The 15,888-nt window shown below is 40.3% G+C and overlaps 1 protein-coding gene and 1 long non-coding RNA gene across 13 annotated transcripts in view; one reads left to right on the top strand and one right to left on the bottom strand.

Moving 5' to 3' along the window:
• GLIS3 (GLIS family zinc finger 3) overlaps positions 1 to 15,888 on the top strand; it is a 666,339-nt gene that overhangs the window by 581,001 nt on the left and 69,450 nt on the right. For all 12 annotated transcript variants that reach the window (XM_047422890.1, XM_011517763.3, NM_001438912.1 and 9 more), the window contains one exon: positions 10,630 to 10,774. In XM_047422890.1, the coding sequence (XP_047278846.1) occupies positions 10,630 to 10,774 (145 nt within the window). The remainder of the gene's footprint in view (positions 1 to 10,629; positions 10,775 to 15,888) is intronic.
• Positions 8,217 to 10,819, bottom strand: GLIS3-AS1 (GLIS3 antisense RNA 1). Its single transcript, NR_026663.1, has 2 exons — positions 10,506 to 10,819; positions 8,217 to 8,632 (listed from the first exon to the last, which is right to left on the bottom strand). It is a non-coding gene; the product is annotated as a GLIS3 antisense RNA 1 (long non-coding RNA).

Genomic DNA, 15,888 nt, shown 5'->3' with positions numbered 1-15,888 from the left:
GTCTTTACTCTCATTTCTCTTTGCAAATTGGTCCTCTTTGCAAATTGGTCATTCCTAAAGGAAATGAATTTGATAGCAGATTGTTAGAGATTAATTACCTATCATATGCCAAAGCCACTTCCTACATGTCAGTGCTAAGGAATCCCCTAGAGATGGAATTCCTAGGTTCAACTGAAAATTAATTGTAATTAATATAATAGGTTAATTCATTGTAATTATTTTTAAGCCTTTTGGCAATGAGTTAATTCCACAAGATCCACATTGCTTGAAGTGTCACAGAGAACACTTGATGAGAATGTTCTAGTAATAAACCTTAACCCTCTGGGGAAAAAATCCTACTGTCTTTCCTTCTGGCTTCGTTTCTTCTGGAACATATTTTGGTGGCATTTGATTTCTGGAGAACAAAGGGATCCCTACAAGGTGATGCATAAACATGCGTGGCCCAGATGGACTGTGCTCATTGGAGACAGGGAAAACAAAAGGCCTTTGATTGTGCCTCGTTTTCTTTGGAAGTGTGTCTTGCTTCAGACTAACAGAATGCCTTTGCTCCTAGAATAAAATGTAATGGAACTGAAAATTGAAGAATCTGGGCCTTTTTCCCTTTCCTAATTATTTCCACTTGACTCACTTAATCTTGGACGATTATTCAGTCATATCTGAAATGAGAAAATGACGGGAGTAAAATTTCCATCTCTTGTTACAAGGGCTTATAAACATTAACAGAATAATCCTGTACAAAAAAAAAAAAAAAAAAAAAACAAATACAAATCACAATTGATGGTGCCTTGTTTTTATAGATTAGAAAAAAATCCCCGCATTGTTAGGGAAGCAGCTCAAATTTCGGCATGCAGTAACCTTGTCAAACCTTGATAGGTGATTTCACTAGTAAGGTTGAAAAACTATCATTTTAAACAAATATTTCATAATGGGAGATTGTATAAAAATGAAGGAGCCAACTTGTTTACTTGCAACTGGATAGGTTGGGAAATTAAGCCCTAAAATAGTTCCTTGAAGATCAGAATCACTAACACTCAGAGGCTCACAAATTGGTTTCCGAGCCTTGGAGTTGTCACAAGTCTATGTCCATGAGCCTTCCTGCAGGTGTAAGAATAAAAGGATTCAAGCAATTCTAATAGTTTCTGAGGGTTAGATTAGGACTCAATGTACAAAAAGTCTTTTTGACAACTGGAGCTGTCTAAAATTGCAGCTAACAACCAAGATGAGGACGTTGCCCCTTACTATACAGTAACAAGCAGCAAAGACTGACAAGCCACTTACAGGTTGCTGTCAGGGAAGTTGGGCATAAGATGGAGGTTTGGACACAGTGACATCTGAAGCCCCTTTCAGTCCTTATTGTTCTGGCAAATTAAGGTCTTAGTTTTAATTTAGTCTCCACACTTAGGCTTTTGGTATTATCCGGGATGGTTCAGAACACCCCACTTTCATTAAACATCTACTTTCCATACTCCTGCTGTACAAAGTTGGCAAAGCAGGTACAGGAGAGAAATGAATGAATCTCATCAGAGCATCTTTTTAAGTGCTGCTGATTGCCTCTCGACATTCTTGAACCAAATCAGAGTAAGTTTAGAATGCCTTCCCCACAAGCCCACTGTGAGCCAAGGATTCAGGTGCATGTGATTTATGAAGGACGCACTTGCAAGAGAACTCAGGAGAGGATGGGGAAAGGGGAAAAAGCAAGGCATGGGTGCCAATTCAGGTAGTCTCAGCCTAGCCCAATCCCACAGGGAGCTCTGGAACATAACGTCTCAGCATTTGTCTCACTTTGAGGCAAAGGAGCACTGTTTAGTAGTGTGTGTGTGTGTGTGTGTGTGTGTGTGTCTGTGTGTGTGTGTGTGTGTTTGGGGGGTGGAGGATGCTAGCCATTGGCTCTAAAGTACACAGAAACTGGGGCACGGACACACCAAAGCTGAGGGGCGGCAGCACATTGCTAATCGAAGGGATCAGAGGGGCGCTGGGTGGGGCATCAGTAGTTTCTGCCACATTTATATCACCTGTAATCTTTGAAAATTCTCCATTAGGAAAGTAAATTACGAAAGGATCACGTTGTCTATTTTAGACATATTCACTAACTAGGAGATTGTAGCTTCCTTTACATAAAGAATTGTGGCTCCTTCTTAGAAATCCAATCGGCAGTTAGTGATTAAATGATTTACCATGATGCTGGTCCCACACTGCTGGCTGCTGTGGAGTTTTAAAAGATTAAGAGGCAGTCAGCCTAGCCCTCGTGGACTGACCAACACAATTGTACAGATTAAATTTATAACAAGAAACAAAGCCCCAGTGCACATGTCCAATCACAGGAGTGTTGAAAGTGGATTCTGCAGTTCTTCTTGTACCCTGAGAGGCGCAGTGTGGACTGGTCTGGTCAGGGGAGTGTTGAAAGTGGATTCTGCAGTTCTTCTTGTACCCTGAGAGGCCCAGTGTGGACTGGTCTGGTCAGGGGAGGTTTCATTCAGGAGGTGAGTCATAAACAGGATCTTGGAGGAGTTACATTAGGAGGAGGGAGTCCGTTCCGGGCAGGAAGAATGAATAGTATGCTACGTGGGAAGTTTGCAGACAGTGAGATAGGCTCTTTTCAGGACCCAGGGAAATATGCATTTATGGTACGTGGTACAGTCACAGTATGGAGGTGCTTAATGTCTTAGCCTTTTGAGACTTGCGTGTTAAGCAGTACATGAAGATATTTGTACCTTGAGTATAGCACGATAAACTCAATTTTAGGAGAGTCCATTTGATATCACAGGATGGATTGGTGAGAGACGAGAGCCTGAGGCAGAAATGCAGCAAGGAGTTGGTATTCGTGGTCCGGCCCCATCGTGCTCTGTGAACCCACCCTCTGTGTGCAGGTACCTGCAGGTTCTCTCCGCCTGGATGTCCAGGAGTCATCTCAGTGTTAACACATTCAAAACCAAATTGCTGATTTACCTCCAACCTGCTCCTTCTGTGATCTCCTTTGCTGTTCCTCGGGCCAAAACTTAAGGCCATGCTTGGCTCCTGTGTTTCTCTCATATTACACAGTGAATTCAGCTCGACCTTCGAAAGAGCACTTTTGAAGGTCGAGCAATTCAGCTGGACCACTTCTCACCCCCTCTGGTTCCCTCAAGCCGTTGGCATCTTTCATCCAGATTGTTGTAATAGCCCCTAACCAGACACACTTGTCCTCTTCCGGTATTCTGCACAGTAATCAGAGTGAATCTTTTATAAGATAAACCACTTTGTTTCCTGCTTACACACTTCCAGTGGTTCACCATTACAAGGAAAGCAAATACGGAATCTTCATGTGCTTGAAGGCCTCACATGATCTGACCTCTGGCAATTTGTCCAGCCCTGCATCCTGCACCCTTCCTCTTGCTCCCTTGCTCACTCCTCTCCAATGACTGTTTTCAGAACCCATCAGTTTGTTTCCTCGGTAGATTTCATGCCTTTCTCCATATCTTGCTCCATCGCTTCATTCAGGTTTCAGCCCAGAATGTCCAGTCTACAGAGGCCTTCCCTGACCTCCACATCTAGAATAGCATGTGGGGAGCATGTAGATAGAGGTGTGCATCATCCCTACAGAGTATGACTGAGCTCTCTGGAAGGAGTGAGGACCAAAAAAATGACAGTGGAAGAATGGGGAAGAGGAAGAGAAAGGGAAGGAAGTCAGAATCAGGAGAAAGAGTAAAGGGAGGTATCCTGTCTTAGCAAGGGATACTGAGTTCAGTGACTCCCTGGGTCAAGATCATCTCATTCAGGATCAGAAAGTTACCATGACAGTGCCCCATCCTGAGAACCAGGGGTGATCGTCAAGGGAAAGGAGACGGGGCCCTGGGACCACTGTGTGTGTGCTTAGGATGCAAATGGTGAGGAATGATGAGCACCATGCTTTATTTTTGTCAATTGCAGGCATTCATGTTACTAGGCCAGGATGCAACCAAGTGACAAACCTGCAGGGGAGGGGACAGTGAAAACCAAACAGAAGTGGTCCATTCTGTTTTATTGCTTCAATCTCTACTCCAACAAAGACCGCTTTCCCTAAAGGGCATGGTGTCAGAATATACACAGTGGTGATAAGGTATGCTAGAGACTTTTCCAGAGAACTTGGCTACCCAGGTTCTTTCCCTCCTAGAACAAGCTCTGAATGACAGGCTTCCGGCTAGAATATCAAAGAGTCAGGCGGGGCTCAGTGGCTCATGCCTGTAATCCCAGCACTTTGGGAGGCCGAGGCGGACGGATCACAAGGTCAGGAGATCAAGACTATCCTAGCTAACATGGTGAAACCCCATCTCTACTAAAAATAGCAAAAAAAAAAAAAAGAAAAAAATTTAACCGGGCGTGGCGGCAGGCGCCTATAGTCCCAGCTACTCGGGAGGCTGAGGCAGGAGAATGGCATGAACCTGGGAGGCAGAGCTTGCAGTGAGCCGAGATCGCGCCACTGCACTCCGGCCTGGGAGACAGAGCAAGACTCCGTCTCAAAAAAAAAAAAAAGAGTCATAAGAGGAAGAGAAACTGTGTTAGCCTGTGCAGTGTAGTGTGGTGTGGACACAAGGAGAAAGTTGGGGGTGGGCTGTTTTATGAGCCAGTATAATGTAATGTCTGAGAGCATAATTTGGGATTCCCTCTAACACACCGAAATCCAAGCCTGACATTTAGTAGCTGTGTAATTTATTTTAGATTTCTCATCTCTACAGTGGAAGTCACAATAGTATGTACTCCATAGAGTTGTGAGGCACACAGTATCCAACACACTGTAGAGATTGGTGTATATTTATTTAATTGAAATGCAGTGTTTAAAAGTGCTTCCTGTTGACTATGCACATCCAGCCCTTTTCTGTGGGATTCAACCGCACGATGCTTTCTCCTTCCTGACCTGAAACAAACGGTCATATGGTAGTGGTTTTAAAGCACATTGTAATAGTATCTGTATCAGTCAGGGTTCTCCAGAAAAAGAGACTCACCAAGATAAATATCTATATATTATGTGTGTAGGAGTGTGGAGAGAGATAATAATTTCAAGAAATTGGCTTCTGAGATTATGGGGGCTGACAAGTCAGAAATTTGTAGGGCAGGCCGAAAACTCTTGGGCAAGAACTGATGCTGCATTCCAGAGGCAGAATTTATTCTTTTTTTAGTGAAACTTTAGTTTCTTTTGCTCTTCAGGCTTTTCACTGATTGGATGAGTCTTGCCCAGATTGTAGGGGATAATCTTCTGTTTTTAAAGTCAACTGACTGTAGATGTTAAGCCCATCAAGAGAATTCCACAGTACAGCAGTCACACACCTAGATGAGTGATTGAATAACTGGATACTAAAGTCTAGCACGTTAACACCTAAAACTAACCAGCACAGTAGTCACACCTCACAGCTCATATGGGCTCTCAAAGAAGGGGAGACAAAGTGCCTATGAGACTGTGGATATTTATGGTGGAGCCCCTGTAAGAGTTTCCTATTGTACCAAGACTAAGAGACTTATTGGGGAATGCAGGGTGACCTCAGACCTCATTTCTTCCTTCTCTCTCAGTGTTACACCCCACCCCAGCCATGCTGACCTCCTTGAAATTCCCTCCTTCTGGAACTCTCTTGCTCTTCATCCTTAGCTAATTTCTCCAACTCCTCAAGTCTTTCCTCAAATATCTCTTCTCAAAAAGGTCAAAATTCCCCCTATCACTCCCAATCTCATCTACCTTTATCTTCTTTTTCTTTTTTCCATAGCACTTGGCACCTTCTCTACAATTTATTTAGTTAGTTTACTGTTTATTATCTGACTTCTCTAGAATGTAAACTTCTCTGAAGGAGTCTTTGTTTTGATTGCTGTTGTATTTCTGGCCCCTAGAACAGTGCCTGGCATATGGTTGAGGCCCAATAAATATTTGTTCGACAAATGAATGAGAAGGATACATCAGGGCAGAGCCACTCTGGAACCAATGGAGTGTGGTTAGGGCAGCTGAGCTGAATGATTCCAGGAACGCCGTTCACATAGATTACAATGTGAACAAAGGTCCTTGGTGTCATGCAACACGGCAGTCCTTTGAAATAGGTGAATTGACAATCAGTGGTTTCAAATTCCACTTTTCTCCGCAAAGAGCAGTCAAGGCTTTGTAAAGGGCAAGTTCTTTGCTCTCTGCTAACAGCAGGTAATAAACTAGACTGAAATTTTTTAACCTTTTTTATCCCTGTGAAAGAAAATACAATCCAAGTTGTTTTTAAGAAATGAGCCTCATTTAACCATGTATTATTATGAGGTCTGAAGAAAGTCAGATGTGTTATATAGGAAATTTAAGAATTTCTTCGCGTTTATGGCCCTGGGCTTAATGGTTACTTCTCACAGGAGATAACATAAACTTTTAAGGTCCAGATGTCCCAAGGAGGCTTCTTAGAAAATTGCCAAGATATTTTATGATGACAACAAGCTACAAAACATGACATATTCATCCCTGCATAAGTTGGAACTTACCTTCCCAGTATCTCCAAGTCCAATGACTTGCAGACATTCCTAGCATTTGTAGGTATCCTCTCCTCCTGTGACTTTTCCTAGTATCTGCTAACTAGATGCCCAAAGTCACTACTTCAGAAAGATCTTTATTCGTCACAGTTGATCAAGGAAGATGAGATAGTAAGGTTTCTGTTCCTATATTTAAAAATGCTAGGTTTTTATAATTCGCTGTTTCCACAGTTCATTTCCTCTTTCCATAAACAGAAAACTATTAGTTTCTCCTCATAAAAATTCTTAGAGACTAGTGGTTCCAAGAGTGAAATCCCAAGACCAGTAGAAGCATCATCACCTGGGAACTTAGAAACGCATCGCAGACCTACTGAATGAGCAGCTCTGGGGTGGGGCGCTGCAGGTGATTCTGATACATCCCCAAGATTGGGAACCACAAGTAAAGACCCTCCCTCCTGTCACTGAAAAATTTCCCTCTATCTTCTTTAACTATTCCTGACAGCTAAGAAGATGTTGGTAAAATATACATTATGCAGTTTTTTAAATAAATAGTTGGGCTTCTTATTCCAAATATAAAACTATGTTACATTGAAAGACACCCCTCCCAAGAGATTCTGCTATGTGCCTCCTGCCTCACCCTTTAGATCATTCCTGTACTAGAGAATGTTTAAAAACCTTAAGGGATCTGAAAGCCCCTTTCCTGGTCTGAAGATCTGTGAGGGACACTACACTTCCATATCATGACTGCGTTTCTATGCATACGGCTCTCCTTTGGAAATTTTACTTAAGGTTCCTAAGCTTGTTCAATTTAAGAAGCCCTTTCTAGAACCATGCCTAATCCCAGAGAAAACCAAATTAACTCTCACCACAAAGTTGTATGGACTCACACTGTTGGAAAACATGAATATTTAGTGAAGCTAAGAAAGAATTGCCCGTCTTTGATGCCAGAAGTAACCCTAGCCGTGAAATTCCTTGCAAAGACCTCGTTGGTACGGGTAACTATAAAACCCTAGAGTAGTTGGTAATAGAAAGCAGAAAAGCATCCATGTCTGCCCTTGGTAAAACATGTGGACCCCAGATCATATTTTAATGATAGAAGATAAATTAAAAGTGATCACCAGAACTCATTCCAAGCCTTGAATTTTTTTTTCCAGTTTTTCTTACACGGCATGTATTAGGTTAGTACAAAAATAACAAACATACCTTCCAAAGGTCCTGAAAGAGTTAGTTAGGCACTAATACAGAGAGTCCTGGTCAGAGACTGGAATGTGCCACAGCTGAGGAAATTACAACAAAGTGATGTCTCAGTCACTACCTGTGTTAAATGTCCCTTCCCTGTATTTAGGGTCACTGTGCCACTTTCATATCCTTGGGCTAAGACCTGGACATGCATTTGTCTCTTTATGAAGCTTTCTGAGACCCAAGAAATACTTCTCTCTAAACAGTAACTTACTGTTGTATGTGTGTGTTTGTCTTTCTTTCTGATCAGAATTTGGTCATCGTCATTGCCAGTGGTGTGCTGGTAATGTATAGCAACCAGCTCTTTAGATGGAAAAAGCCTGTTTGTAGAATTGCCAATTTCCATGGTGTAAATACTTCACTATGACCGATTTCAAGCTATCAGTCTATCATCATTGCATGGAAAGTTTGGAAAAGACGCACAAAATTGACACCTCAGATTGGTGCGAGCCAGCTTTGGCACATCATTTGAATGTAGAAAATTTGGAAAGTGTTAAGCGCGTGCCTAATTGAAGAGACTACCCAGACAGGCTAAGTGTGAGCAACAAGGCTGTTTATTCACTCCGGTGCGAGCGGGCTGAGTCTGAAAAGGGAGTCAGCGAAGGGCGGTGGGAGTGGAACTGGTTTTATAGGTTTGGGATAGGTAGTGGAAGGTTACAGTTGGGGCAGTCTTTTCGGGCAGGGGAAGAATGTCACAAGGTGCGTAGTCACGAGGTGGAGGGAGTTCACATGGCAGGATATCACAAGGCCGATTGATTATTTAGGGTAGGGCAGGAACATATCACAATGGTGGAATGTTGCAAGTTCGGTTAATCAGTTAAGGCAGGAGCTAGCTGTTTCTTCTTCTTTAGTGGTTCTCCTGTTGCTCAAAGCTTTGTGACTCCAGGAGGCCTGGACCTGTGTGTCGCAGGGGTCACAATGGCTCAACCGTGGTGTGGCCCGTTCAGAGGACCTTACAGAAAGCAGAAGAAAGGACTTTAAAAAAGGGAAGGAAATAAATTCATAATAGTACTACTGAAAGCAAAAATCAGTTGTAATGTTCAATTATATTACTTTCTGATATTTTGTCTGTGTATTTTTATGTAATTATCATTTTGTATATATATAAAACTTTGAGTTTTGCTTTTATGTTCATGAATACCATTTTAATGGTTGCATAATAGTCCATCAAATTGAGGTAAAATCATTGATTAGCCCTATTTGTGGACATTTAAGACATTTTAAGTTACATTTTCTGATTAGGTATTGCTATAAATAATGCTATTTGTTTTATATATATATGTGTATATTTTGGGGGGGGTACAAATCTTCTTTAACACCTCTGGCTATTTCCTTAAGACAAGTTCTAGAATCAAATTATTTCAATTATGGACCTTGAAAAAATATTCCCACATACCATCTAGACTGTTTGTACCAATATTCACTCCTATGAACATTGTTGAACAATGCCTCTCTCACTGTACCTTCATTACTGTTTTTTTTTAAGTTTTTGATAATTCAGCAAGTAAAAAGACGTTTTAACATTGCACTTCTTTGCAAGTGTGCAAACATTTTTCACGCTTATTATCATTTCTGTTTCTCCTTTTTTTTTTTTTTTTAACAGTTTCTGTTCAAGTCAAGGCTTTATCCAACGTCTCCTTCCCATTTCCACCTCCCCACCTTTTATCTCTGGTTTCATCTTCTATTTCTCTTCCCCAGGCCCCAGGCTCACCCTGCTTGACTCTTACTTCTCCGCACAACCACAGGGTAGGCAGGTTCTTCCCCCATAGGTCTGTACGGCTTATTCCTCACTTCTTTCAAAGCTTTTTATAAATGCCATCTTCAAGAGGCTTTCCTTGATCTCCTATCTAAAGCTGCCACCCCTTATTCCTACTCACTGTCTCGCTTCTCCGCATCACTTTTCTCCATAGCATTTATCACCATCTGAGGTTGTATATGTTTTATTTGTTCATCATCTGCTTCCCCATCTAGAGTCTAACTTTGACAAAAGCAGTCAGTATTCCTAGGGTCTAGAGAAGTATGTAACAAACACTTAATAAATATTTGTTGACTGCATAAGCATACTCTAGCTCTATATCTAAAGGTTTAGTCTTGTCTTTATAAAATCCATTTATACACACACTCTTTAAATACCAAAGATGATTACCATTTGCAATATTTGTAACAAATACATTTCTAGATTGCTTTTAAGGTATTATGTTTTTGTACAAGCAGAACGTTAATATTTTTATGTCACTAAATCTTACATTGTTTTTTTTTTCCATTTCAATTACACTTAAAAAATTCTTATTCATTAAAAGATCAGATAACTTTTCACCTAGTTTATTTTAGCATTTTTTATTGTTTGATTTTTTTTTTACATGTAACTCTTTAATGTATAAGATCTAAATTGTTCTGTTTTTATGTAACTGACTGTTGGAGTTTTGTTACTGTTAATCACATTGTTTTATCTTTGAATCATGCCATAATATATTAAAATTTAACTTGAGTATTTTCCTTTCATGGAAAATCTATAGGAGTTAAATCTCAATGGGCATTTCTTAATCATCTCTGGGATGTTTTCATGACAGTGTTTCTATTTTAAAAGCACTTTCCAAGATGGACTAAATCTACTTGAGTTTGTTGTTGTTATCGTTACAAGTTCTGATAAGATACGGAGCAAATAAAAGGAAGTATAATAGGAAGTTGAGTTGCCAGAAGTGGAAATATCAAGGACTGAAGTCAAATCCGCCTCTAGCCACATTTTTCCAGAAGCTCTTGCCAGGTGTTATTAGGATTGGAGAACTGATCCTTTTATTGACACTCTGTTAAGCTCTGTGCCTTACCCGTAGTTGCTGCTTGATAAATTTTTGTGGGCTGAGTTGCACTGATAGAGCATGATGCCTTCCCAGGAAAATATTCCAAGGACCGGCTCTCCTTATCGATGTCTCTTCCGTTTTGTCCTCTTAGTTGCGGTCCAGCACAGAGCTCCATCCAGACCTGCTCACAGATTGCCTCACCGTGCAGTCCCTGCAGCCGGCCACTTCCCCTAGAGATGCTGCTGCTGAAGGGACCGTGGGACGCTCCCCTGGACCCGGGCCTGACCTCTATTCAGGTAAAGACAGCAAAGGCAGAGCCAACCACAACTACCCTTTTTTAGGCCTTTTACTCTGGTTAAAAGGAATGCTCACGTGAGAAAAATTTTCCTAAGATCGTCTGTGTTGTTCTTTATCAATGGGCTGCAAATTGCTCTCCACCCCTTCTGATTCCTGAGCTGGGTGTGGCAGCAGATTGTTTTTTCTCATAAAGAAATAAAATAAAATAATGCATTACCTCTTTTAGTTATGGACTTCTGCCAGAAATTCAGTGTACCCAACCCTCGCAGTTATGTTACATTTACTCACTTGATTTAGACTCGAAGGAAATGTTTCCTCCTTAAGCAGGTAGCAGGCTGCGTGTGGATTTCTTAATGAAACAGTTGTTGTCATCTTTATGTTTTAAAAGGAAGCCCCAGGTCTCTAAGGAAATTTTCACATCAGCAAACCAACTTATAAGAATGTTCATTCATGTTTGCCAACCATTGTGGGAAAGGAGATGGGATGACACTCCCAGACCACCTTCCATCTGCCTAGGTTTGAATAATAGGTGACTATATTTGGAAAATTACATGTATGTAGTAAAAAACAAAAAAAATAAGAAAAGATTAATATACCATAAGGAAGTTATTTTTCTTTTACTCAGCCTGGATTTTTATGCATTTTCTACTCTCTGTAATGGTGATATACTTATGCAAACATAATTAGTGATTGTCCTTACATATGGAACACTCTTACAGTCATGCTATGAAGATGAGAAAAAAGATTTACCAGCTCCACATTCCAGACAATGAGAATTTTCTATTTTCTGTGGGTTGCAGATACTACCCCCACCCCCATCTGATTCCAGAGCCAGGTTTGGCAGCAGACTGTTTTTTTCTTTCGAAAAGTATGAATAAGCCATTAGAATTTAAAATTTACAGATGCATTGCAGTGGAATGGGAGAAAGACATCCTTGTACAACGTTTTAAATTTGACAGTTCTCAGTTGATTCAGATGCAGAGAGAAAGGGCAGTAAGCAAGTATTGCAAGAGCATCAGTCATCAAAACTGGGCCTTAATCATGGCCCATTGGACCTTTATCAGTTGCTTTAAGCACTTACTGTTGGGGACAACATAGCCTCTGCTTTTTGAGACACAGGGAGATGAGACGAAGAAGGGTTGACCAAACTTACAGAGGTTTCAGGTACAGGTTCATATACAGACATCAAATATATCAATGTGCAGTGTTACCAACACATACATAAATATTTTGTATTAAATATATATATATATATGAAAAACCATGACTAGCTTTTGTTTTTGTGTGTCTGATTTGTTCAGTATTTGATATATGAACATTTATTTCAGCACATTAAATTAGCAAACAATTTTAAACAGCCTATAAAGCATTCCCCTACTACTTCAGTTCATTAATCTATGATCTTACTAAGACCTGGAACCCAATAGTCAACAGTCAACACTAACCAGAAGTGATTGAAAAATGGCCTAACATACAATATAAATGGTTTCTAGTGATGGGCTAGTCTGGCTGTATTTAATCCTCTCAGAAATGGGTTTGGGAAGCAATGCTATCCATATCTATGGAAAACATTAGCACCTTTGTTGTATGTAGCATACAGCATATGGCTCATTTTCGAAACTGTCACATTTGTCTTGGTGTCTGTTTTTATATGTCTGGTAGTGTTTTTAAAGCTTTAGAGTTTTAAATATTTTAAGGTTCAGCTTGAAATGTTTTTGTCATTCCAAGCAAATGTCCACTTTTTGTCCATGACTCTATTCTATATTCGGTCCTCAAAAAGATTTTGAGCTCTGGAATTAGAGCCTCCGGCTGTGGTAGGTTTGCCTCCTAAGGGGCAAGGATACCTAAGTTGCTCCAGCCATCAGTGGAGTGTCTTCAGGTTGACCCACATTTTCCGTAACTCTTGAGAACACTTGAAACATGCAGATGATCATGTTGCTCAACTTTGTTCCCAGAATTTTACTTCTCCAGGTACCTTATGACTGTGAAAGTTTACCCTCTCTACTTCTTTTTTTTTTTAATTGAGATGGGAGTCTCACTCTGTCAACCAGGCTGGACTGCAGTGGCACCATCTCAGCTCACTGCAACCTCTACCTCCCAGGTTCAAGCAATTCTCCTGCCTCAGCCTCCCTAGCAGCTGGGACTACAGGTGTGCACCACCACACCTGGGTAGTTTTTTGTATTTTTAGTAGAGACTGGATTTCACCATGTTGGCCAGGCTGGTCTCAAACTCCTGACCTCAGGTGATCCACCCACCTCGGCCTCCAAAAGTGCTGGGATTACAGGCATGAGCCACTGTGCTCGGGCCCTACTTCTTTCCTTATTCCTCCTTCCCTCAGGTATGATTTTGCTTTCTAACTTTCTTCCTTTTAAAAAAATGTTACGCCTTTTGTTTTGCAGAGTAGGCAACAAACCAAGAGGCAGAACCAGGCAGGGGAAAAAATTACAAAACAAAAATTTAAGCCTTTCTTTTAAAGTTCTAGAAATGTGCTTGTGTGGAGTGCATATTAACATCCACTGCAAACCTTCGCCCTAGATCTATGGAAAGAAGCCAAACCATGAAAAATGCCAAAGGTGCAAAAGGAAACTTCATCAATTAGTTAAATGTAAAATCTGAAGTGTTAAGACAATTTGATGAAGATTAAGACTTGGCTAAATAGCAAAAGTACTTGGAGTTATTCCCTTTTATGTTCTATTATACAAAATCAAGAAAATATTTGTTTAATGATTGTCAGGCACTTCTACCTTTAAGTGCTAGTAAATTAATTTATCACAAAAATATTTTGATGGAAACCCGTTGAGTATGTATGAGCATAGAATAGGAGGCAGTTAAATTTGGCATTGAGCACCATAATCTTTCAGAAGCCACAACGATTGAGGACTTGTGGTGTGAAGAAGTCATAGTTTTGCAATGGAAATTCTGGTCAAGTATATGATGCTTTATAACATTCTAAGAGAAGGATACTTTGCACAGCATGAAGATGAACAGGGAAGATGGCAGTTCTGGAACATACAAGTCTTGCACTTCTCCTGAAGTGTTGCCTTCCCTCATTGAAACAAACTTTTCAGGTTGAAAAGAAAGACAGAGCTTGATTGGAAAGGATTGCCTGAAAATACTTTTATTTCTGTGAAAGATAATAGCGTCCCAGGTTAAAGCAGCCAAATATCACTTGAGGCCATGCTGAGGATGACTTTCATAAAATTAAGGTGTTTACTTGTCTACTATTCTGAAAATCCCAGGCCTCCCCAAGCCTGCTCCTGAGCTCACCTGAGAGCAGTGTTGTAACCTAACAAACAGGAAGGCCAAGGCAGCAATAAGCAGGCCTCAAGGATGGCTCATTTATATTTTTTGCCCTTTTGTTCAAAGGTTCTGTGTTCCATATAATAATGCCCCAGGCCAGGCCTGTAAATTTAGATGATTTATCTGATAGTCTAAGAGGGACTATTTCATAGCCTGTTGATCGAAGTGTGAATGCCACTTTCAAGGCTTAGTGCTTGTATATCTTCTGGTGAACACCTGTGATGAACTAATGATATATAGAAGCCCATATTTGGTGAGTCTGAGATATCATGGACAGTGTGGAACAGTGCCTGGTCTTGGCAGGGAGTCCATTTATTAACAGTGAATGCTGTATGGAAGATGATCTGTCCCATGAATGACCACAAAAATTATGGCTCCTTTCAAACCGAAGCTGTACTACAGATTCAGTAAAACATGACCTTAGCAAATGACCTAAGCCATGAAGACATCATAGAGGCCAGTGTGGTTGAGATGTTTGAGTCCCACAGAAACTACTCATCAAGGATGAGCTAACACAGCTGGAACAAGAGAAATCTACGAGAAGAAGGGAATTTTATTGATTCCAATTGTACTGGGTTATAAAATAATTGTTATGTTTAGAGCTTACAATTCCTGTTGAATTATCCAAATTTTGAATGTAACCTTAGATTTTTAAGAAAAAAAAAAAAATAGATGTTTTGTTCAGATAATATAGGGAAATGTAGAAGGAAAAATACTTTTTTTGGAGCAGGATTATTTGAAGTCACGTGTTATTCTCTTCACTTTACCCTCCTTACTGGGAGGTGACGGCTTCTCTCTTACAATATCATTACTTTTTGTAAGAAATAGCACCATATAAAAATCTATACAGGATTTAACAGAAATTTGTGAAATAGTTACTATTTCATTTTAATGTAATTTTATGGTACATGTTTTAATATGTTTTCTACATTCTTAAATTGAGTATATTTGCTGTCGTGGGACAGCTTGCAGAGTTGTGTTAGAAATAATTTTCTGTAAAAGTGCTTCATATAGTCTGTTCTCAGAAAATGGTTATTAAGTTAGAGATTTATTAGAGGGTTCTAAACTACCACACACATTTCCCAGTAGGTTAAACTTAATAGGAGAGTTGTGAAGATTAAACAACGTAACTATATGAAAGTCTTTAAAAAGACATAGAGCATTATAAAAATGCATAGTTATTACTTGCATTAACTTCAAAAGCACTGCTTTGTTTGGAATTCACAAAGGTGAAAAAGCAGCAGAACAATTTTGGAATTGGTCAGAAGGAGGTGGAAACTTGGGGGCACAAAAGGGATTTAAAGGTAAACATTTGGCAAAGTCTGTGTGAAGCATTCCTTTGAACTGCTATCAAAACCTTGCAGTTTTTGTAACCTCTCTTGCATCTGTGATGGTCCACCGAGTTAGATTGGAGAATGCAGTGAGGTCAGGAGCAAGCTTCATACTTCTCTGTTGTAGGCACTGGTCATTTTAAGCTGTTAATTGAGCCCCCACCTCTAGTCCTGAGCCAGTCCTTCAGTATGCATCAAATCACCTGGAAATCTTGTGAAAATACAGTTTGCTGGGCCCTACCCCCAGCGTTTCTGATTCAGAAGGTCTGAGTGAGTCCCAAGAATCTGAATTTGTGCCAGACAGTTCTAACAAGTTCCCAGGTGACACCACCAGGTGCTGCTGGTCCAGGTGCTGCTGCTGGTCAAATGTTTTTCAGCCTTTGAAAACCATTGCTCTGGATCATAAAATGTAGGCATATGACTTCTGGGAAAACATGACCTGAATTTTGACTGGGAGGAGTTAGAATTAGAATTGCACTGT

This window comes from Homo sapiens, chromosome 9, assembly GCF_000001405.40.
Source record: "Homo sapiens chromosome 9, GRCh38.p14 Primary Assembly".
NCBI lineage: Eukaryota > Metazoa > Chordata > Mammalia > Primates > Hominidae > Homo > Homo sapiens.
Note: the sequence above shows the minus strand (reverse complement) of the source record. Positions and strands in the feature narration are given on the sequence as shown.